At 47.5% G+C, this 23318-nt stretch overlaps 1 protein-coding gene and 1 long non-coding RNA gene across 2 annotated transcripts in view, besides 4 other annotated features; both read right to left on the bottom strand.

The window, feature by feature from the left end:
• GIMAP8 (GTPase, IMAP family member 8) overlaps window positions 1-665 on the bottom strand; it is a 28764-nt gene extending 28099 nt beyond the window's left edge. The window contains exon 1 of the mRNA NM_175571.4: window positions 120-665. The gene's annotated coding sequence lies outside the window, so the exon portion shown is untranslated. The remainder of the gene's footprint in view (window positions 1-119) is intronic.
• Window positions 666-3154: 2489 nt separating this feature from the next.
• Window positions 3155-17641, bottom strand: LINC00996 (long intergenic non-protein coding RNA 996). The gene is made up of 4 exons (NR_034033.1): window positions 17466-17641; window positions 8135-8746; window positions 4406-4595; window positions 3155-4219 (listed from the first exon to the last, which is right to left on the bottom strand). It is a non-coding gene; the product is annotated as a long intergenic non-protein coding RNA 996 (long non-coding RNA).
• Window positions 15210-15309: an enhancer, noted in NCBI's record as "active region_26832". NCBI's record gives its function as "activates an Ori minimal core promoter by ATAC-STARR-seq in GM12878 lymphoblastoid cells {active_cell/tissue: GM12878}" and the evidence as "EXISTENCE:reporter gene assay evidence [ECO:0000049][PMID:35858748]".
• Window positions 15530-15749: an enhancer, noted in NCBI's record as "active region_26831". NCBI's record gives its function as "activates an Ori minimal core promoter by ATAC-STARR-seq in GM12878 lymphoblastoid cells {active_cell/tissue: GM12878}" and the evidence as "EXISTENCE:reporter gene assay evidence [ECO:0000049][PMID:35858748]".
• Window positions 17401-17500: an enhancer, noted in NCBI's record as "active region_26830". NCBI's record gives its function as "activates an Ori minimal core promoter by ATAC-STARR-seq in GM12878 lymphoblastoid cells {active_cell/tissue: GM12878}" and the evidence as "EXISTENCE:reporter gene assay evidence [ECO:0000049][PMID:35858748]".
• Window positions 22300-22469: an enhancer, noted in NCBI's record as "active region_26829". NCBI's record gives its function as "activates an Ori minimal core promoter by ATAC-STARR-seq in GM12878 lymphoblastoid cells {active_cell/tissue: GM12878}" and the evidence as "EXISTENCE:reporter gene assay evidence [ECO:0000049][PMID:35858748]".

Below are 23318 nucleotides of genomic sequence, written 5' to 3'. Positions count from 1 at the left end.
CATCTACACACGAGTGCACATGTCACACATGCACTGCGGTCGTGTCCCATGGGGTCCCACGGCGTCCCACAGTCTCCGAGGCTCCGCAATCCACCTGGCTCTATCCCTCCATCTCTCACCTGGGTGGAAGCAGCTGCTGGTCCCCCAGGGCACAGGATGTGAGGAAGGTGAGGAGGGTGAGGGGAGAATGGCCGGAGAGCGACCCTCTTCCCAGGCCCTGGTCTTCCTGGCAGGAGGGTTTCGGGTGTTTCTGCAAAGGAAGAGATTTCTAGAAATAGCCTTCACATCCACAGAGGCATAAATGCAGTCGGAGAGGAAGTTCCCTGTGCAGGCCACAGGCTCAGAACCTCGAGAGCCGTCGGGGCTCAGGGAGGAGCCAGCATCGGGGACACACGCGCCTTCCCTGGGTGCTGAGCGCCTCGTGGGGTCACAACACAGCAGAAACTGAGGAGCCCGGCCCGTCCCGCAGCTGCAGACTGAGAGGAGGGAGGAGAAATGACAGCAGAGGCTTGGCCAGGGGCTGGGGCGCCGGGGCCGGTGCCAGGCTGAGCTTCAGAAGGGCTGCAAGAACAGGGGCTTGGATAGGGCAGGAAAAGGACGTCAAGCCAGTTCCTGTTCCTGAGAGGACAGAGATTGTGGCGCCGCTACAAGCTCTGAGCAAAGCCAGCTCCGGGCCTCTGTGTGCCCTTAAGTGGCCTTTAGGACTTCCTCTCACAAGTCCTTCCTCGCTTCCCTTCCCTTCCCTAAAACCCACAACCCGGGGAACTCCAAGCCTGACAGACCAACGCTGCTTCTCAGGGAATGAATGCTTTTCCCCAGCTTGCAAAACGTGAAATGCTAGACTTCGATGCTTTCAAATATTTCACAAAATGAAATCCCTTTTGTGAAAGAACATAGTGTCCAAACTACCTGGTCTCTACTTCATAAGGAAGTCAAACACGGAGGAAGACTTCTTAAAAAATGTTTACTAGGGTAAAAATGATGTAACATTAATAGTACCATCCTAACCATTTCTAAGTGTATAGCCCACAGTAGAAAGTACATTCACATGGTTGTGTGCCAGATCTGCAGGACTTTTCATCCTGCAGCACCCAAACTCTCCCCATTACACCCCAACTCACCTCCCCGAACCCCAGCCCGGGTAACCACCGTTCTACTTTCCGTTTCTATGATTTTTTTTTTTTTTTTGAGACAGAGTCTTGCTCTGTCGCCCAGGCTGGAGTGCAATGGTGTGATCTCGGCTCACTGCAACCTCCACCTCCCGAGTTCAAGCAATTCTCCTGCCCCAGCCTCCCGAGTAGCTGGGATTACAGGTTCCCGCCACCACACACGGCTAATATTTGTATTTTTAGTAGAAACGGGGTTTCACCATGTTGGCCAGGCTGGTCTTGAACTCCTGACCTCAAGTGATCCACCTGCCTCAGCCTCCCAAAGCGCTGGGATTACAGGTGTGAGCCACCACACCCGGCCTGTTTCTATGATTTTTGGCAACGTCAGATACTCATGTGAGTGGAGTCCCACAGTGTCTGCCCTCCTGAGACTGAGCAGAATGCCCTAGAGGTTCATCCAAGTGAGTGCGGGACCCTCTGCGCTCTGCACAGCAGGGCCCTCTTCACAGGATGCAGAGGCTAGGGCCTCGAGGGACTGGAGCTCAAGTTAGTTTTCCAAATGTCTGAGGTGGTGCTAAGCTTTCCAAAGGGACCCCGCAGAAGGAGGAGCAGTGGGGGTGGCTGAAGTAGAGGGGCATGCTTCAGATATGAAGTCTCTACAGTAGTCAAAACCACAGGCTTTGGGGAGCTGCTGTCAGCCTATCACATCCCGAGGGATCCACCCTCCCCCTGGACTGGTCTTCATGCGCCAGCCTTGAGGACTGCTCTACCTTGTTATGAACCTGAGGGAAACCCTGGTTATGCTGGGATGGCTCAAGAAGAGCTTTGGGGACACACAGGACACATCTTGATGGGGAAAGCTGACAAAGCCCTTCCCATGTCCCACTCTACCTGTCTCCTCATTGAAAGAGGATCTATTTTGGAAGAACCCCACCCTTCCTTTACAGTAGGTCAACGCACATAAAACCAACTCATTATAATGAAAAGACAAAAACCCGAAGCCAGGTACTGCAGTTCATCCCCGCTGGGGTACTAACAGAGGCAGAGGCTCAGCAAGAAACTGTTTCCCCAAAATAGAGAAGAAAAGGCTCACTCATTCTTAAATGAAATATTAAGCATCCAGGGATTGCTCTAAGTAAAACTGAAGCTGCAAATAACTCCTCAAAGATTCAGCAAGTCGATTATTTGCTGAGTTGACCATTTTGCAAAATGATCTTTCAGCAAATCAGCTCCTAGAGAATTGATTTCCGTGCAGAAGGCAGGCTGCCGGGTTCTGGTTTGGCACCGATCTGAGGCAGGATGGGGGCTCCCTGCCCCCTAGTGGCTTTGTGGCTAATGACAAGTGCAGCAAAATGCTCCCCAGCGGGCCGAGAGCCCTGACTCAGCAGGCAGGTGAAACACTGGGGAGAAGTTCTAGACTTCCAGAAATCGAATAAGCCAGGAAGACACATGTTATGCAAGCAAGGAGAAATCTACCAGGACCAAGCACCGTATTAGACACAGAGGGCACAAAGATTAGCAAGGCAAATACCTGACTCAAAGGGGCCCTAACTCAGTCTGAGGATGGGGAAGAGACTACGCTGTGGTCACGAAACGAGGTAATGTGCTGTGATAGAGATGCGTCCAGGCTGCCACGCAAGTGAGGAGGAGACGATGTAAACCCCGCAAGATGGAAAAACAACCAATTGGGGAAATAAACTTATAAACAAATCCGTAAACCCGCCATTTCCTGTGGCAGGTACTGACGGAGTGGTAGAGACGGAGTTTCACTATGTCCTGCCATGGAGAAGATTGTAAGGCACAGTGAAGGGAAGGCCGCGCGGGAAAGGTAATGCCTAAGTCTTGAAGGGCTGTAACATTTGCCTGTCAGATGACGGAGGGAGGACGCCTCAGGCAGACGGAGAATGGCAAACGCCACCGGCATCGGGGCCCTAAGACAGCCCAGCAGGTGCGAGAAAACGCAGTCAGGCTGGAGACAGAAGGACCGGTCAGAGGCTGCTGCAGCACCCAAGCTAGAAATGAGGAGAACTAACGCAGAGACAGCAGCAAGGGGAACAGATTTATTACAAATAGAAACAATAAGGCCGGGCCTGGTGGCTCATGCCTGTAATCCCAGCACTTCCTGGGAGGCCGAGGCCGGCGGCTCAACTGAGGTCAGGAATTCGAGACCACCCTGACCAACATGGTCAAACCCCGTCTCTACTAAAAATACAAAAAAATTAGCTGGGTGTGGTGGCACGTGCCTATAATCCCAGCTACTCAGGAGGCTGAGGCATGAGAATTGCTTGAACCCGGGAGGCGGAGGCTGCAGTGAGCCAAGATAGCGCCACTGCACTCCAGCCGGGGCAACACGAGTGAGACTGTCGCGGAAAAGAAAAGAAACAATAAAAGAATTTCTTAAAAAGATGAATTCACAGTTGTTAACACGATTGACCCAGTTGCCACATCAAAGGGAGTGCTATTCACTGCAGACATCTTTGTTATTTTGGAAAACATTATTATACGTTATTTCATTTCAAAGATGGAAAATGTGTGTGTTTACTACAGCTTTGGTAGATGGTAGTAAAGTGTCTTGTGACTAAATTTGTATATTTTGACAAGTTTTTGATGGAATTAAGTATCTTGTTCAAATGGAGTCCATGTCTGTTATAGTAATTCAGAAATAATATACTTATTTTAAAACGTTTAGCTTCTCCTGTAATTCCAGCTCTTTGGGAGGCCGAGTCGGGTGGATCATTTGAGGTCAGGAGTTCAAGAGCAGCCTGGCCAACATAGTGAAACTCCATCTCTACTAAAAATACAAAAATTAGCCAGGCATGGTGGCATGCACCTGTAATTCCAACTACTCGGGAGACAGCTTTTTCTGATTCTCATAAAGGGCAGTGGTCACCCAGGCTGCCTGGATGTGGAGCAGCCTGGCATCACAGTACTTTCTAGTGGCCTTTATGGAGAGAGGGCTGAGAGGCTGGTGTTTTGCTAGAGATGAGCACGTCGGCATGGGGATGCTGGGCTTGAGGCTTCTAGAGACAGAGCAGGCAGGGGCATCCAAAGGTCTTGATTGATTCCTGTGTCCCAAGGATTCTTCATGCCAATCCTCTCACTGAAAACGACTAAAAATAAAGAGGATAAAAATATTTCTAAATCTTCTCGACACCATCCAAGGGCCAATGAGATGATAAAGAATGACTTTCTTCCAGCCTGCACTCTTGCTGGAGCGCAGGCACCCTGTGCCCAGCTGCAGCCCTCAACCCCACTCTGGACCTACATTCAACACAGCTCCCCTGGGCTTTGCTTACAGGTTTCCTTTTGCTTTTCTTGTTTGTTTTGGGTTTGGTGGGGGTGGGGGTGCTGCTATTGCTGCTGCTGCTGGTGGTGGTTTATTGCCAAGTAAGACAAAGTGCCCTCTTTTTATTGCAGTGGTGACTTTTCTTCACCTTCTTAGCTGGCAGCAAAGGCCTAAAAGAGTCATGTTGCTTCTGGAAGATTCTAGAGAGATACAGGCAGTCATAAGAGGCCCACAGACAATAATCAGGAGTGGAAATAGAAAGTTCTTAAACTCTGAGTGATTGATAGTGGTAGCAAACAGCTTTGTGAAGGTAAAAACTATGAGTCAATGGTAGTTAAAAGCTGGCAAGAGACCTGATTTTGAAATGAAAAAATCCACCAAAAGAGAAGGATCACCCAAACAGAGAGGGAGGGGCAATTCCTGTAAAATTCCACAGCAACTTCATATGATCCCAGGGTTTTCCCAGCACCTCACTACTCATTCTTCTTCCTGGGATTTCCCCAAATTCTCCATATTTTTTCACCTATAAAAAGTGAGGGTCGGGTGCGGTGGCTCACCCCTGTAATCCCAGCACTTTGGGAAGCCAAGGCAGGTGGATCACTTGATGTCAGTAGTTCAAGACCAGCCTGGTCAACATGGTGAAACCCCGTCTCTACTAAAAATAGAAAATTAGCCTGGCTTAATGGGGCACTCCTGTAGTCCCAGGTACTCGGGTAGCTGAGGCAGGAGAATCACCTGAACCCAGGAGGTGGAGGTTGCAGTGAGCCAAGATCACACCACTGTACTCCAGCCTGGGCAGCAGAGTGAGACTCTGTCTCAAAAAAAAAAAAAAAAAAAAAATTTTAAGTGGGGACAGCTGGATGTGTTGGCTCACACCTGTAATCCCAACACTTTTGGAGGCCAAGAAGGGAAGATCCCCTGAGGCCAGGATTTCAAGACCAGCCTGGGAAACATAGAGAGACTCCATCTTTGCAAAAAAAGTTTTAAAATTAGCTGAGCTTGGTGATATGCACCTGTGGTCCCAGCTACCTGGGAGGCTGAGATGGGAGGATCACTTGAACCCAGGAGGTATAGGCTGTAGTGAGCTATGATTGCACCACTGCACTCCAGACTGGGTAACAGAGCAAGACCTTGTCTCAAAAAATGTATGTAAAAATACAAAATAAAATAAAATTTTTAAAAAGTGGGAGTTTCTGGAATGACTTGAGCTCCACTCCAAATTGTTCCTCTGTAATATTCAAGATGCATTTCCACACCATTGCACCAAACAAAAGCTTTCTGAAGGTGGGGACTATGTCTGTCTTGCTTATGACTCTATTCCAGCACCAAAACGGGGCCTGGCACACCAGGGATGGAAGAATGAGTGAGTGAGGAATGAAAAAAACACCACTCCTTTATTCCAGGGAGTGGATGGAGCAGGTGTGGCCATTGCCCTCACCCTCTCCCCTCCCCACCCACTCAGGTCTGGAGGGAAGCCTCAATCCTCATGGCTTAAGCCCCTCTTCTGATGTGGACATTCACGAGTCCTGAGCCAGCTCCTGACACTGGAGACACAGTGAGCAGAAGCAAAGTCCCCCAGTCTCTGACTCTGCCTTCCCCCGGGCCTGGCACTAGACCAGCCTGCAGGAGCTCCAGGCCCAGGCTGGCCCCACCCCAGAGCTGCATTCAGACATCCCAGGGGCACAAACCCTCCCCCAGAGCCACAGCTTCCTGGGCTCTGGCCCCATGCCCACAGCTGCCCCCCATGTGGCCTTCCCGCAGCTGTGACGGGGCCCCTGACACCTTGCCCTGGCCGCTGGGCTCCCTGGGGACTCATTCTGCAGGCAGAGAAATGGACACCTGGCTTTCCACTTCAACCTCCCAAGCTTTCTATTTCTCCTCGTAGGTCTTCTGGTCAGCCTGGTTCCCTGGTCCTATAGTGGGAAATGACACAAGGCCTGTGAGGCTGCAGCTGACTGTGGTGGAGATTGTCACACAGGGGCTTCCAGGAGCATTCCAGGTGAAGGTCAGAGACCCCGGCCAGCATGTCCTGACTGCAGGGAGCAGCACCTGTGCTCAGAAGGACTTGGTGGCCCAGGTAAAGTTCTCATTCAGCATGCAGCCCTGGCCTCCTGCAGGTCCTCAGGCATCTGGCCCCTAACCCAATAGAATGGAGACTTCAGCCAGAACTTGGGACAGCGGAAACTGTCACCCATAGTCCCCATTCATGCAGGGTAATTAATTGGCTGGCTGCAGCCAACAGAGACATTCAAGAGAGTTCCATAACCTCGAAAGGAGCGTCAGGGCCAAGAAGTCTGGGGAGCAGCAGAGCCTGAGATAAGGCAGTGTCCTAACTGCATCTGAATCCCAGCCCCGTCAATCACGCCCTGTGTGAACTTGCACAAGCTCATGAACCGTGCTGCCTCCCAGTTTTGTCATCTGTGTGATGGGGATACAACTGTTAGCTCATGGCACTGGAGGGGGACCGGAGGACCCAATGTCTGTCAAGCACTAACGCTTTGCCCAGGGTCCCCCATGTGGTGGTGGGTGCCACAGCATCAGTATCTGGGTAGGGGCCTGCGGGAAGCGGGACTGGGGAATGACAGCCGGTGCAGCCGGCTCTGGGCAGGGAGACTGAAGGGCAGAGTCAAGGCCGACTCCACACATGGGGCTGTGCCCCGTGGGGGGAGTGGGGATCTGGAGGAAGAGGCCTAAGAAAGAAGAGGCCACCTGAACCATGAGACCCCAAAGGGCCCCCCTTGCCTCTGGCCAGGGAAACAGAGCCTGTGGCTCCAGCCTTGGGGACAAAGGCCCGTTCCTTGGCTCACTTTCCGGGGCTCCCTTCTCTGAGAGCCTAACCAGGGTCCCTCTGGAGTCTAGGTTCCTGCCACAACAGCCCAAGTAGATTCCGCTCTGCCTCTGAATTCCATAGTCACTCCCCACAACCCACACAGGAAATTCTAGCCGTTTCTCAGCTGAGGCCCCTTCAGGAGCTCTGCTTTCTCCATGACAGCCTCACACCCACGGGGCACAGGTGGTGGTGTTATTGTTATCATTGTGACCCCCCGGGTGTTTTCTCTTGAACATAATTTCTACAGGGGCCAGAGAAGGGTAGACGTCATGAGACGCTGAGGGTGGCCCTGGGGTTGCTACCAGCACGGATGCCAAGGACCTAGGACAAGCCTGGGACTGGGACCAGCCAGGTCTAGATGGAGCCTGGGCCATTCTCCAGGGGAACATTGTCCCGTCCTCTGGTTGTACCCACTTGCCCCTGGAAGCAGGGGCGTCCTCTTCTCTCTCTTCCATCCCGTCTCCTGTGGACATTCCCCCACATATTCTAGCACAGGCTATGCGTTACCCTCAACCCCTTCCAACACCTTCAGGTTCCTGCCAACACCCACAGATGATCCAGTGGCGACCAGAGCAAGAGTCGGGGCTCACTGCCATAGGGATCAAGAGATCGGGGGGCTCAAGACCAGAAAGTGTTCTCCAGTGGGAGCTTCCATCACTCCTGAGAAGATGACATGGGCTGAACACAGAGATTCCAGGGCAGAGACTGATCACGCAGCCACCCTGTGTCTCCTTCAGCACCCGTGATGACGCCACACTTCAGAAAGCAAAGGGCCCTCAGCCCCTGGCTCTCCCCAGCTGCTCTCACCTCTTCGCCCCCTCGCTGGAAATGCTCCCCTCAACCCAGGGCGGAAGTGCAGGCTGATCAGGGGAGGGTCCCCGGAACTGCTGCCAAAAATACCGTCCTTACCCATCTAGGCGGACTCCTCCCAGCTTCCCTGTGCTCTCTGCGCTGAGAAAAGCTCGCAGCTGAAGCGAATGAAGCCGTGGCCGCAGCCAAAATAGTGATTGTGTCGGAAGCGGTTGCGGACCCTGGAAAGGAAATGAGTCCAGAAGGCACAGAACCAGCAGGAACCGGGGCGCAGGGCACAGGGCGAGTCCCCACGTCATGGCACAGGGCAAGTCCCCACGTCAGGAGCCGGTGCTGTTGGCTCCCAGCATGACCGGCAGAAAAGATGGGAGCCTACACAGCACCCCTCATGCGGGGACCCCCAGCCATGCCCCCAAACTTTTAAACCCTTTCACACAGCCCGTGCCTGGAGGAGCTCTCCACGACGTCAAACTAAACGGGTGCAGCATGTGCAAAGGGGCAGAGAGACTGAGCGGCCTCCCCACTCATCTACCACGAGTGCAAATTGCCCGCTTTTCCAAAGGACAGGCTCTCCCCTGAAGCCCTCCGTGCTCTCAGCTTCTCCTCAATCTCCATTTCTGACCAGTGGATCCTTCCGCTTCTTACGCTGCCAACTGCTAAGATGTGACCCGTTAACCAAAATGGCTTCCATTTTTTCTGCTGCTGCTTCATCTGCAGGCGAGAAGTAGGAAAGTGTTAGAAAAATCAAGCAGCAATCCAGGCATCGCTCGTAGCCACATTCCTCCCTCCTTGCTGGGGTTCATCACAATAGATAGCTCCCTGTGCTTCCACCCGCACACACAACACTGTCGCCCTGGTGGCCCTGCCCTCCCATGTAGGCACTAGCAGGCTCCTGCTCTTTGCCGGAAGAGAGGGATAGAATCAGAAGAAGAAAAGGCCTGAGAGGCGCCTTGACCTTGTTTCCAACAGCATCAGCCTCAGAGAGATGGCCAGAGGAGGGGATGTGAGAACACACATGGCCAGGAAGATGAAGGTAGGGGGTACCCTCAGGCCCCAGAGTTTCCCCTTCCTGCTACCCACATACTTGATGGAATGAGAAAGGCAAGTGAGAGGCAGGCCAGGAAGCCCTGAGAGAAGGGGCCGCATCCCACTTCCCAGCAGCACAGCAAAGGTGCTGGGAGACCCCTGAGAGAAGTGGCTCCCCAGGGATCCTGGGCAGGCAGCACAGGGGCCTCAGCGCAGATTCCCACACCCCAAGCTCCCTGTGGAAGCTGAAAAGAAAGGCAGACCCAAGAGGCCAGTGGGCCAGGACTAAGGACTGGTGAAAGGCACTCCTGAAGACCTGCAAGGGGTAAGGGGAAGGGGAAGAGGAAGCAGAAGGAGAAGGAGAAGGGGAAGGGAAGGGAACAACAAATATCTCTTATGAATATAGATGTGTGGATGCAAAAGTCCTCAACAAAATGCTAGCATACCAAATCCATAAATATAGAAAAAGAATTATACACCATGAAAAAGTGGGAATTATCCCAGGAATGCAAGGTTGGTTTAACATCTGAAAATCAATTAATGTACTACACCATATCAAAAGACTTTTAAGAACACACACATACACACACATAACCATCTCAACAGATACAGAACAAATATTTGACAAAATCTAATGCTTTTTTGTAATGAAACACTTCATAAACTAGGAATGGAAGGAGACTTCCTCAATTTGATACAAGGAATCTACCAAAAAACACACAGATAAAATTATACTTAATAGTCAAAGATTGGATGCTTTCCCTCAAGATTAGACACAAGCCAAGGATGGCTGTTCTTGCCACATCTATTCAGCATTAAGTAGACATTCTAGCCAGGGCAATTAAGCACACACACAAAAAAGGCATCCATATTTGAAAGGAAGAAATAAAACTATCTCTATTCACAAATTACATAGAAATTTTCTACACAGAAAATCCTAAGGAATCTACTAAATAAAACTATTAGAATTAATAAGTAATTTCATCGAGCTTACAGGATACAAGGTCAATATACAGAACCAATTATATCTCAAAACAATGCACAATCTGAAAATAAAGTTGAAACAATTCCATTTATAATAGCACCAAAAAGAACAAGAGAAATAAATTTAATAAAAGTTTAAAATTTATACTTTAAAGACTATAAAACGTAGTTGAAAGAATTAAAGGTCTACATAAATGAAAAATATACCATATTCACGGATCAAAAAACTTAAGATTGTTAATATGGCAATACTCCCAAAATTGATCTATACATTCAAGAAAGCCCTATTAGAATCCCAGGTGGCTTCTTTGTAGAAGTTAACAAGCTAATTCTAAAATTCATATAAAAATTCAAGGGACCTAGACTAGCCAAAATACTCTGACAAAAGAACAAACTGGAGGATTCATACTTCCTGATTGCCAAACTTACTACAAAGCAGCAGTAATCTAGATAGTGTGATACTGAGATAGGGATAAACATATAAATCAATAAAATAGAGCTAAGAGTCCAGAAATAAACCCTCACATATATGGTCAATTAATTTTCAACAAGAGTGCCAAAACCATTCAATGGGGGAAAAACGTAGTCTTTTCAACAAATCATACTGAGATAATGGGATAGCCACATATAAAATAATGACATTGAACTCTCGCTTCACACCATATACAAAAATTAACTCAAGATGGATCAAAGACCTAAACATAAGAGCTAAAACTATACAACTTTTAGAAAACATGGTCGCAAATCTTCATGATTGGATTTGACAATAGGTTCTTAGATATGACATCAAAAGCATGAGCAACAAAAGAAAAAATAGATAAATTGGGCTTTATCAAAATCAGAACTTTTGTACTTCAAAAGACACTACTTAAAAAGTGAAAATACAAACCACGGAATGAGAGAAACATTTGAAAATCACATATCTCATAAGGAACTTGTCTCTAGACTATATAAAGAAATGTTATGACTCAATAATAAAAAGACAAATTACCCAATTTTTTAAAATGGGAAAATGATATGGATAGTCATTTCTCCAAAGAAGTCCCACAAATAGCCAAGAAGCACATGAAAAGATGTGTAACATCATTAGTCATAAAGGAAATGCAAATCAAAACCAAAAGAGAACACGACTTCATACCCACAAGCATGGCTGTAATCAGAAAGTCAGATAACAAGAGAGTGAGGATCAGGAGAATGTGGAAGAGGTGAGAATGTGGAGAAATTGGAATCTTCATACATCACTGGTGGGAATGTAAAATTGTGCAGTCACTTTGGAAAACAGTCTAGCAGTTCCTCATATGGTGAAACATAATCAAATGATCCAGCAATGACATTCCTACGTATTTACCCAAAAAAGGAAAACATGTCTACTCAAAAAGTAGTACATGCATGTTTGTAGCAGCATTATTTATAATAGGCAAAAAGTGGAAACAACTCAACGTCAACTGATAAATGGATAAACAAAATGCAGTATTTCCATACAAGAGGATATTATTTGGCCCTAAAAAGGGATGAAGTACTGATACATGATCCAACATGGATGAACCTTGAAAACATTAGGCCACCTATTATATGATTCCACTTACTTCAAATGTTCAGATTAGTCAAACCTATAGAGACAGAAAGTAGATGAGTGGTTGCTTAGAGCTGGGAGGAGATGGGAGGATGAAGAGTGATCCTTAAAGTACAGAGTTTCTATACAAGGCGATAGAAATGTTATGAGGCTGACTGTGGTGCTGGGTTGCACATATCTGTGAATATACTAAAAACTATTGACTTGTACACTTTAAATGGTTGAATTTTGTGGCATGTGAATTATATCTCAAAACTGTCATAAAACAAATGAGATTTCCCTATGCCCATTTTCCTTACTGCTCTGCAATTCCTGCCACAGGTGACGCTTCTTTCTACCCTCCACATCACTCTTTTTGAAGGTGCCACAGATTCCAGCCCCAGGGTCAGCCTAGACAAAATAAGGAGGATTGACTGTGGTCTGGAGCTGGATCAGGGTATTCCTGGGTTCCTAATACAATATCATCTTTTTAAAACAAGGTATTGCACAGTGTGTGAACAAGCATGGAAAATAACCCGTGTACTCAACACCCAGCTCATTAAGTCTAAGCAGTTTGTCATTTTTGCTCCAGATTTTTTAAGTGAAAATATTTCAGATACAGCTGTAGCCCTTTATATACCCTTCCAGTGATGAACCTACAGGCTGCTTCCAATTTTTCCTACTACAAATAAGGTTACAATTAACACAAATACAGATGAGAGCTCCCCTGGAGTCTATACTGTAAAGTTAAATTTCTTTGTCCTAGGGAATGCACATTTTTAAATTCACTGGATATCATCACATTGCTGTCCTGTTTATAAAAACTTACATTTGTGTTTGACAGTGGTTGATAGTTATCATTTCTCTACATCTTCACCAATAGCTGGTATTATCAGACTTTATTGCCAGACTGGTGGGTGTGAGATGGTATCAGATTGTTTGATTAGCTGTGAGGCTGAGCATGCTTTAAATGTTTAAATGTCTTCTGTGTCTTGCCTGTTCATATCCTTTGCCCAATTTTTTATTGGGTTGTCTGCACATTCCTTATTAAGTTATAGGCATTTGATATGCTGTATGTTTCTTATATCCTATATTTTATGTTCCACATTTTTATATGTTCTTCTTTTTTATTTTTGAGACAAGATCTCATTCTGTTGCCCAGGCTAGTGTGCAGTAGTGCAATCTCGGATCTTTGCAGCCTCGGCCTCTTGGGCTCAGGTGATCCTCTCAACTCAATCTCCCAGGTAGCTGTGACTACAGGCTTGCACCACCATGCTCAGCTAATTTTTGTATTTTTTTGTAAGATGGGCTTTCGCCATGTTGCCCAGGCTGATCTCAAACTCCTGAGCTCAAGCAGTCCTCCCACCTCGGCCTCCCAGAGTGCTGGGATTATAGGTGTGAGACACCACATCCATTTTTCTATGTTCTATGTACAAATAGTCCCTGACTTACACTTAGGATTGTTTGACTTACAATTGTTCAACTTTACAATAGTAGAGAGCGATATGCATTTAGTAGAAACTGTACTTTGCATTTTGAATTTTGATCTTTTTCCAGACTAGCAATACGCAGTACAATACTTTCTCATAACGCTCCACAGTATTTCATAAATTCCATGAGATTTTTCAATACTTTATTATAAAATAGGCTTTGTGTTAGATGACTATTGCCCAACTATAGGCTCGGGTGGTTGTTCTGAGCATGTTTAAGGTAGGCTAGGCTAAGCTATGATGTTCCATAGGTTAGATATATTAAATGCCTTTTCCATTTATATTTTCAACTTACAATGAATTTATCAGGACATAATCCCTTCGTAAATCAAGGAGCATCTGTACTAATAATTCACTATTTTATGCTTTGCAGGTGTCTTTTCAAAGTCTGTGGCTTGTATTTTGATGTAGTTTATAATGTCTTCTATTATACAGAACTTTGATCTGGTCAAAATTATCAATATTTTCTCTTATGATTTGTGCTTTTTTTGTGTACCTTAAAAACTGGAAAATCTTCCTCATATTTCTTCTGGAAGCTTTATTTTTTTTCACAGTGGAATTTTTTGTGAATAGAGTGAGATAAAAATGTAATTTTATGACCGGCCCGGAGGCTCACGCCTGTAATCCAAGCACTTTGGGAGGCCGAGGTGGGTGAATCACTTGAGGTCAGGAGTTCGAGATCAGCCTGGCCAACAGGGTGAAACCCCATCTCTATACAAAAAATTAGTGGGGGCATGGTGGGGCTCACCTACCAGCTACTCGAGAGGCTGAGCCGGGAGAATCACTTGAACCTGGGAGGTGGAGGTTGCAGTGAGCCAAGACCGCACCACTGCACTCCAGCCTGAGCAACAGAGTGTTCTTATTTTTATAATTTATAATTATAAAATTTATAATTTAAAAAATTATATATATAAAATTTTATTTTTTCATATAAATAATTAGTTGTCCTAGCACTGCTTATTGGATATTTCATCCTCTACTCTCTACTAATCTGTAATGCCAGCCAGACCATCTTAATACATCAAATTATAATCCAGCATTCTTTCTAACATAGCATATATAAGTGGTATTATAAATCAATGAGAAAAAGATGACATCCTAGTCAAAAAAAATGCTCAAAGCACATAAACAAAAAATTCACAAGACAAGATATGCAAATGGTAATAACTATATGAAGAAATAGCCTCATTTAATTAGTAAAGAACAGTAATTTAAAGCCACAAGATACAAACATTCATTTGCCAAACAGTCAGAGGTTCTACCTGGCATCACTGCCAGTGGAAGAGTAACTGATAAGGTTTTGGGAGGGTATTTTGGCAATTTAGCAGCCTTTACATGAACATATGCTTTCCACTTTTAGAAATTCTACTGCCAGGATTTTATACCTACACTTATAGAAATTATATGTCCACTTCTAATAATTTATTGTAAGGAAATAATTAAGAGTATACACAAATATATGCCATAAGCATGTGATTTTAATTATAAAACCCAAAACAACCTAAATTTTCAAATAAGGGATTGGTTATAATAATGTTGCATGGTATATCATTAAAACACATAAAAAGCAGTTTTTAGATTGGTGATTTTCAACTGGTGATTTTTGTAGCAGAGCCCTGTTTTGCAAATAAACGCGCATGTGAAACCCCAATGTGTGAAAGAGATGGATGTGAGGATGCTCCTGGTGAAGGAGTCAGGCAACCCCATCACCCACCTCCTTCAACATCTTTAGGAGGGTGCTAAAAAGAAGACTGTAAAACGCTCCACGGAACCCTGAAGACAGCACTAACACCAAGTATATTTACCATGTATTGTTAAATGAAACAATTTGCTTTTAAAAAAAAAAGAATTGATTCATCTTTTAAATGTACATATGAAGAGAGAATAAATGAATATATTCCAACAGTCTGGACACCAGTGTATTCACAGAAGGGTATGGAATTATGGGGATTCCACCCTTCTTTTCTGCTTCAATGTATAAATTGCAGTGCTTTTATAATAAAGTGAAAAGCAATGGGAAATGAGATGAAACAAAGAGGCATTAATTCAGACCAGAGCACAGAGAAGAAGGAAAAGGGAATATATAGCTATTGCCAAAATAGTGACATACAGCAAACAACCACAAAAATCGACATGGCACAGATACAGCAATAAACACATTTCTCAGTCATCTGTGGGTCTACTGGCTTCATCTTGTTGATCTCTAGGTCAGCTGGAGTGGCTTTGTCCCACATGTCTTCATTTCAGGTACCAAGTAGAAGGAACCGAAACCACCCAGGGAAAGCCCCCAGGCAAGGGCAGAAACCCAGGAGGCCAGCAGAAGCCTGCAGGGTCTTACAAGGGGCAGGCTGAGAACGGGAACCCTCTCACTTTGCCCCATTCTAGTGGCCAAAGCAAGTCACAAGACCAAACCGAAACTCAATGGGCAGGGAAATACAGTCCGCCCAAGATGAGCAATGGCATGGGTATGAATGGAGGACAGGAAAGAATTGGAGTTAATCCTTCAATCCCTCACAGTATGGAGGGCAGGGTCTGTTGACAAGCAGCAAGAGGTACCCAGGAAGGCAGGGCCTGGCTGTCCCCACCAGCACCCCAGACACCCACCTCAGCCCAAAGAATGGCTCAGAGCCACGCTTTCTAGGCCATGAAAGGAGAGGGGCCCTTTCCCTCGTGACCCCAGAGCAGATGGCAGAATACAGTCTAGGAGGAAGTTCCAGGAGGAACATGAGAAACCTCACAAGCCTCGTGCAGTTTAGTTTCTGATAACCACTTCTCTTTCTTTGTCTCATGTTTCCCTTCCTTCGTGAAGTTCCTAGAAAGTGTAAATTTTTCCTTACCTTTAATTTTTTCTTTAATTTTTCTTTACCTTTTTTTTAAGTTGCCATCTAATCTGCCCTTGAAATGCTCTATTCTGTGCCAGTTGTCCATTTCAAGATGGAGTCACTTGTTTCAAACCCAAGCAAAGTAGAGTCAGGAGCCTAAGAAGGGAGGGTCCTCATGCACATGCGCCTACAATAACAACGATTACAGCCAAACACAGTGGCTCACACCTATGGTCCCAGCTACTTGTGAGGCTGAGGCGGGAGGATCACTGGAGCCCAGGAGTTGAGCCCAGGCTACAGTAAACTATGATCACGTTGCTGCACTCCAGCCTGGGCAACAAGGCAAGACCCCATTTCTAAAAAGAAAAGGAAAAAAAAGGACTATTACAAAGACTCTCTGAAGGCTGTGACACACATATGCCTGTAATAAGGACTATTTCCAAGGGCCTTCCCAACTGCAGCCTGCCACAGGAGTCACTGGACGGCCGGCCACATGTTGGAGCACTCTCACCTCACATGCCATCTCCACTAAGAATCTGACCTCAACTCCTGTGCCCAAGTAACCAATGTTCTCTTTGTTCAAAAACAACTCAACAACTCCTGTGCACTCCTCCTTTTGCCTTTATTTTTTTGAGACCAAGTTTCGCTCTTATTGCCGAGGCTAGAGTGCAATGGTACGATCTTGACTCATTGCAACCTCTGCCTCCCAAGTTCAAGCGATTCTCCTGCCTCAGCCTCCCAGGTAGCTGGGATTACAGGCATGTGCCATCATGCCCAGCTAATTTTGTATTTTCAGTAGAAATGGGGTTTCACCATGTTTATCATGCTGGTCTTGAACTCCGGACCTCAAGTGATCCACCCGACTCAGCCTCCCAAAGTGCTGGGATTATAGGCGTGAGTCACCACACCCAGTCTTCCTTGTGCCCTTAAAAGCTTCCCCTTGCCTCAGCCTCCTGGATGCGCCCATGGCTGCTGTGGCACGGGCACTCCGCATCACAATCATGCTGCTCATTTCCAAATAAATTCATCATCTTTGGAGAATCGCTTCTGTTTGTTATTTAGGTTGATAATTCTTCAAAAAAAAAAGTCTATGACTTCAGTGACAAAGAGGGAAGCTGGGAGGTCGGGAGGAAGGTGTGTTAGGAAGAATGTGTCTGACTCTGTGGTTAGTTGGGGTGGGGACCCTTCAGCCTCCTGAGTAGGAGCGGCAGGCCTGGGAACAGGGGAGTCTCCTTCCTAGGTCCTATTGCCTAGGCCCACATGATGCCTACCTGAGGCATATGCACAAAGAAAAAGTCCTTAAAATTTTGTTTTTCTCTAGAACAACCTACAGTCCTAGGGACAGACACACCATCCTCCTAAGTCCTATCACACCCTGGAAAATTGTAACAAAAAGGTGACAGTCTCCTTGGGGCATTGCCTGCAGCCTTAGCTAGGGGCCATCCTAGTTATCTCAATTACTCATCCAATTTGTGATCAGCCCTAAGTTCTGGCTCACTCTAGCTCTCTCCTTCGACTTCCTCATCTCCCAAATGGAAGTGACTACCCCGACCTACCAGGCTGTTGTGGGAACCGAACGATGTGGCAGAGAGTCCAGCTCAGCTTCCTACCGTTCCACGAGGGCCACTGAAAGGCCAGTCCTCTTCAGCCTGCAATGAGAGAGATTGAAAGTGGAAGCAGGTCTAAGCTCACAGAATCAGGAAGAAGGTAGAATGCTGAATACACTTCTTCCTCCAATCCCAAATGCTAGAACTGTGTTTCTATCGAAGTTTTGTCATCGACTTTTTAGAATCAGAAAAATGATTAAGAAACATGAGCTGAGATATGCAGGTTCCTTGAGCAAATAGGATTTTGTACAGCAGACACCTCCTGGTGTCTCATTTCCTGAGATCCCCAAAGTGAGAGATAAGAAAGCTGTGGCCGCAGCAGAGACTTGAAACAGTGACCAGAGACCAACTCTTCCACAGGAAGGTGTCTGCACAGAAGACTCACAGGGGCAGCTGACAAAGATCTGTCTATAGCCTGGTCCACAATAAAGATCAGGGGTTGGACAGGGTGAGACACCCAACACGGTGGCTGGAGCCACCCCCTGTAACTATCAACAAACTTGCAGCCCAAGGTCGAGCACAAATAAGTGGGCACAGAAAGACACTTCAGGACACGAGCTACAGAGAGGCAGCCACCTGGCCATCCTCCAGCTGCCTGAGGTTTGCAGATGCCCTTGATGCCACCCCCTATCCCTCCCAAGCACTCTCCTCTCCGTGCACACAGATGCTTAACAAGAGCACCTATGACTCTCCACAGACCAGAGCACCAGGGACACAGTGCCCCTGGGAGATGCTGCCACCAAGGCCAGATGGAAAGAACACCCCTGTGTTCTTGCTCCATGGTTGGCATCTGAGACGTACCTGCCAGGGTTCCCCAGCAGGATCAAGCTCAGTGGCCCAAAGTGGAAATGAACTTACCAGTCATCCTCCAGTGGCCTCCTCTCTTTCTCACTTTCCCACTCCCCCACCAGGGTTTCTCGGGATCCACTCTCAAATAAACTACTTGCCCTTGAATCCTTAATTCAGGGGGAGTCAAAACAAAGACGACCAATCAGAGACAAATATTAACCATAATGATGTCTATTACTCAGATAGGATTGAAATCAACTCAGAAGGGCAGGAATGTGTGAAATCTTCTCCCTTTCCCTTCTCTGCTGAGTAATTGACTCTCATGCCCTAGAGCCTTCTCTACCCCTCTGTAAGCACGTGGATTCAAAACTGAATGTCCAAGTTCAAACCCAACTCCCCACAACCCAACGTTCCCAAGTCATCTAGGGAAATTTGCTTCACCTCTTCAAGTCTCCATTTCTCCAATGTTAAGACAGGAGAGTCTCAGACAGTTCACAGCGACCAACCCACCCCTACTCGGCCACCACCCACATAACATCTTACTGGGAGATTTCTCCCATTGAGTTCAAGTTCATAGCTGGAGAATATGGAAACTGCACACTCACCATGGAAGATAACACCAAGAAGTCTTTGTCTTTCCTGTCTTCTGCTTTCATCATCTGCCCCCTCCCACCAGACTGTGTTTCTCCATGACACCCTGTAGTTTGGCCACAGCCAAGCGGATCTGAAGACCATTGCCTCCAGAAGTTGGCATGACGATTCTAAGTTCTCCAGGTGGGAGAAGGAGGGGGATTTACTTATGTTTTTAAATGTTCTAGGACTTGTGTGTCCTGTTGAACTCCAAGATCTGTGGAAAAGGGAGTCACAAGAAAGACAAAATTCTCATAGTCCAGCTTCACAGGCACAGAAGGGCCTCAGCACCACCATGGAGCAGGCCCAGACACAGGGCTGAAGTGGGAGCTGGAGTCTCCCCAGCACCTAAGCAAAGCCTCTCTTCCCCACAGCTCAAGGTTCCAACAGCCCCTCCTTCTCACTCCTTTTCCCCCTTCAAGTCTTCCAAGTATGCACTCCAGACTGGTGTTGGTATTGAGTGTGGGCCGATGAAGGGAGAGTGGGGTGACAGAGTTGGTCTGTCCCTTTTCAATAACTGCCAAGAGGACTGTTGATGTTCTCTCTAGAATGTGAGGTACTTGACTGTCCTCGACTTTGAATAGAATATTCAAAGTGGGAATACAAGCTTTCCCACTCAAAAGCTAATTACACCTAGGAAAGAAAATCAACGGTATTTTTTATAAGCAGTATACAAAATAGTTGCCTAATTTTCTTCTTTTCCTTATAGCCCTGTGAAACTGTTTTGGAATGCACGTCATTTAAAAAAATATTCATAACCCAGCACAGTGGCTCATGCCTGTAATTCCAACTCTTTGAGAGGCCAAGGCAGGAAAATCACTTAACTCCAGAGTTCCAGACCAGCCTGGGCATAATAGCAAGACTCCATCTCTACAAAAAATAAAAACTTAGCTCGGTGTAGTGGTGCATGCCTGTAGTCCCAGCTACTCGGGAGGCTGAGGTGGGAGGATCACTTGAGCCCAGGAGGTTGAGGTTGCAGTGAGCTGTGTTTGCACCACTGCACTCCAGTCTGGGTAACAGAGTGAGACCCCCATCTCAAAAAAAAAAAAATGTATCTCAAGACTTGTTCACTTCAAGAAAAGTTTAGAGTAGCCCAATCCCCTGAGGAAATTGGAACCAAGGGACGATGAAACAAGGGTCGTATCTCCTTTTTGGCTTCTCTGCTGATGTGGTTCTTATCTGAGAATCATATAAACTGTTCCCAGTGGGCAGAGCAATGGCACAGCCAGGAGTGTCTGGGGAAACTGAAGCATCCTGAGCCCCCTCCCAAGTCATCTGTGTCTGGGTTCTCTGCTTATGCCCCACAAATAGCTCGTCCAAGTAGGACATTCGAACAAGCACCCCGGACACAGAATGTAATCCGCACCACAGCCCAGCATATGGCCTGGCTTTTTCTCTTCATCTTCATCCTTGTATGTCTAAAGAGAAATGTTTGTGTGGGAGGAGATGACATTTGAGTTCGTTAATTCAAAACACTGGTGGTAAGATGACTTATTCCAGGAACTTCAGTTCTGGATTTCATCAAATAAACTCAGGGACTCAACAGAAGAAAGTGACCGTCTTGTGAGTCCACTGAGCTCTGTCTCCAGAACAGAACCCCAAGGAGTCGGACACAGGAGCAGCAAAGTGCAGGCTGCCCACTGCATCTGCACCAAGGGGAAGGCACGGTCTCTGCAGGCAGCTGCCTCGTACCCCAGCAGCTGCACGTTGCTGCCAGCGCCTGGGGACCGCTGCCTCAGATGGAGAAGCTGGAACTCAGATCCTAGACTATTCCCCTGGGGGAATGCGATGATGGTTTCCAAACTTCACAGGTGCAGGCACGGTTCAAACCTCTGCTTTGCCCTTCCTAACTGCCTGAACTTGAGCAAGTGACCTCCACCCCCAAGTACTTCAGGTTCCTGATCTATAGAAGGAAGATCGTAACGATAATGGTCTTGTGGAGTAGGATGAGGATTAAATAATCTCTCTCCAGTGGGGACTGTTTATTATCTCACACCCCATGTACCCCAGGGACAGAAAATGGGGTTAGGGGGCAGGGCGTGGTGGTGCACACCTGTGGTCCCAGCTGCTCTGGAGGCTGAAGCAGGAGGATCGCTTGAGCCCAGGAGGTCGAGGCTGCAGTGAGCCATGATTGCACCACTGCACTCCAGCCTGGGTGACCAAGGGAGACCCTGTCTCCAAAAAAATAATGCGGTTAGAGTTAGCATCTCCCTTGCTCCTTGGCTTTCAGGCCATACCTCTTCTCCCTTTTGAGAACTAGTCGGCCTCTTCGAGTGTTAGCTGCTGGTCTCTTCCCTTCGTGCTTTGGGGTATGGGCGTCCAGCTCAGTCCCCCCGCCGTCCCCAGGCTTTGTCCCAGGACATGCCGGGTGTATTTGTTCTCCATTGCTGCATAATAAACCACCACAAAAAGTGGCTTGAACAACACAGACTTACTCTCTTAGCGTTCTGGAAGTCCAGAGTCTGAAATGAACCTACAGGGCTAAAATCAAGGTGTCCACAGGGCAGGTTCCTTCTGGAGGCTCCAAGGGAGAATCTCACTGTTCCATGTCTCCTTCAGCATGAGACAGAGAGAGAAAGAGGGAGAGGTGGGGGGTTGGTGAGGTAGAAGGTGCCACACACTTTTAAATGACCAGATCTCATGTGAACTCAGAGCAAGAGCTCACTCATCACCAGGAGGATGGCCCAAGCCATTCATGAGAGATCTGCCCCCATGGCCCAAACACCTCCCACCAGGCACTTCTAACACTGCAGATTACATTTCATTCAACATGAGATTTGGGCAGGGACAAATATCCAAACTATATCAGCTATTAAAGTCCCCAAACCTTCCCTTTAGCTTCCAGTTGCTTTCCTTTGGCTTCTGGGGCAGCCTGCAGAGGGCAAGTGCCTTCGCTCTGAGAGCAGCTGAGTAAGGACACTGCCTTCTCTGACTATATTGAGTACCAGCCCCCCATTCACCAGGCATCCGACTCTCTGCCTCCAAACAATTGCTTTATGCAGGTCCAGGGGCTGGGCCTGGCTATTCTATGCCATCCTTGGGAGTCCTTCCCATCGTCAAGGATTTTCTGAAAGGTCAAGCCTGGCTGCACTGGAGAAGGGAATGTGGAAGCCACAGCCCCTCGTAGCCGGCAGCCTGGGCAGCAACTGGAGGAGGTGGAGCATTTTCCTCTCCCTGTGGGGCTGAGGAATGTGCAGAAAATGGGTCTGCGGGTTCTTTCCAGGTTGCTCAGGAAGGGGTCTAGGGATGTATCTGAGGGGACAAGGGTTTGGGTAGGGACCCAGGCCAGGACTCCAAAGCCCCAGTGCCTTGGCCCTGAGAGCTTGCCTGCCAGTGATTTCTACCTTGGCTGGAATGCACTTTGCCATTTCCTCTGTAGACACTTCCTTGGGCAGATGCGGCCATCTGGTCTACTCCACAGGAGGTGGGAGTGACAGCAGCAAATAAAGAAGACAGGAAGAAGGCGGCCAAGGGCTGCGTGAGTGAACACAAACAGCAGGAGGGCACTTTGCCCAGTGTGGCTTCTGAATCATGCCTCTGAAAGTCCCTGTGTGTGCACACAGCTGTGGGCAGTGCTTACGTTTCTGTGCATGTGTCTGTGGAGAGTGTGGTTGGGGGTCGGAGGGGGTACCTGTGAATTCCTTAGAGAATCCTAGAGGGTGGGACTCTACGGGACCTGCAAGCAAGTCCAGTGGGTTCCAAATGTTTTCTGCAGGTTCTAGTGGGGGCCCCCGGACACCTAAGGGGTGGGCCCAGCAGACAAGGTTGCTGGGGAGAGGGAGACCCATCCCATGCTGTAGCTGGAACACTCCTGGGGTGATCCATGGGTCTTCCTAGTGATATTTTGAAAAAATAAGATTTTACTTTCATTAAAAAAAAAACAAATCTTTGGAAGTAGTGACTTCCCATCTAACCTCCTCATTCTTCAGTGAAGAAACTGTAGCCCCCAGAAAGGAAGTGACTTCCCCAAGGTCGTGAAGGAACCAGCTGGGGGAGAGTCTCAGGCCTCCTGACTCCAAAGTGGGTGCCATCCACAGTTTATCTTGCATCTCTCGGCCTGCAGGGCTGTGGAGGTACAGGCGGCTGGAGGGTGCACTCTGCCCAGCCTCACCCCGGTGAGGACCAAGTGTCCCGGTTCTGAGGAACACAAGGCAAGGCCTCCCTCTTCTAAAGTCTCTTCTTGTTTCCTGACCTGCCGCACTAGTCAGGCCTCTGGTGAAAGGCGTTTGAGGCCCTCAGCACCCTCACGTGACGTGGGAGCCCCAATACGCATGGAGCTGTTGGCACCACTTTGCCACTGCTTGGCCTGGAGAAGTTCTCATTAGCCCTACAGGGACATGGGACAGCGGGATACGTAAGTTGTGGTGGATGGAGGATGGAAAA

The sequence above is a fragment of the Homo sapiens genome, chromosome 7, assembly GCF_000001405.40.
Source record: "Homo sapiens chromosome 7, GRCh38.p14 Primary Assembly".
Lineage (NCBI taxonomy): Eukaryota > Metazoa > Chordata > Mammalia > Primates > Hominidae > Homo > Homo sapiens.
This window is presented reverse-complemented; position numbering and strand designations above follow the sequence as displayed.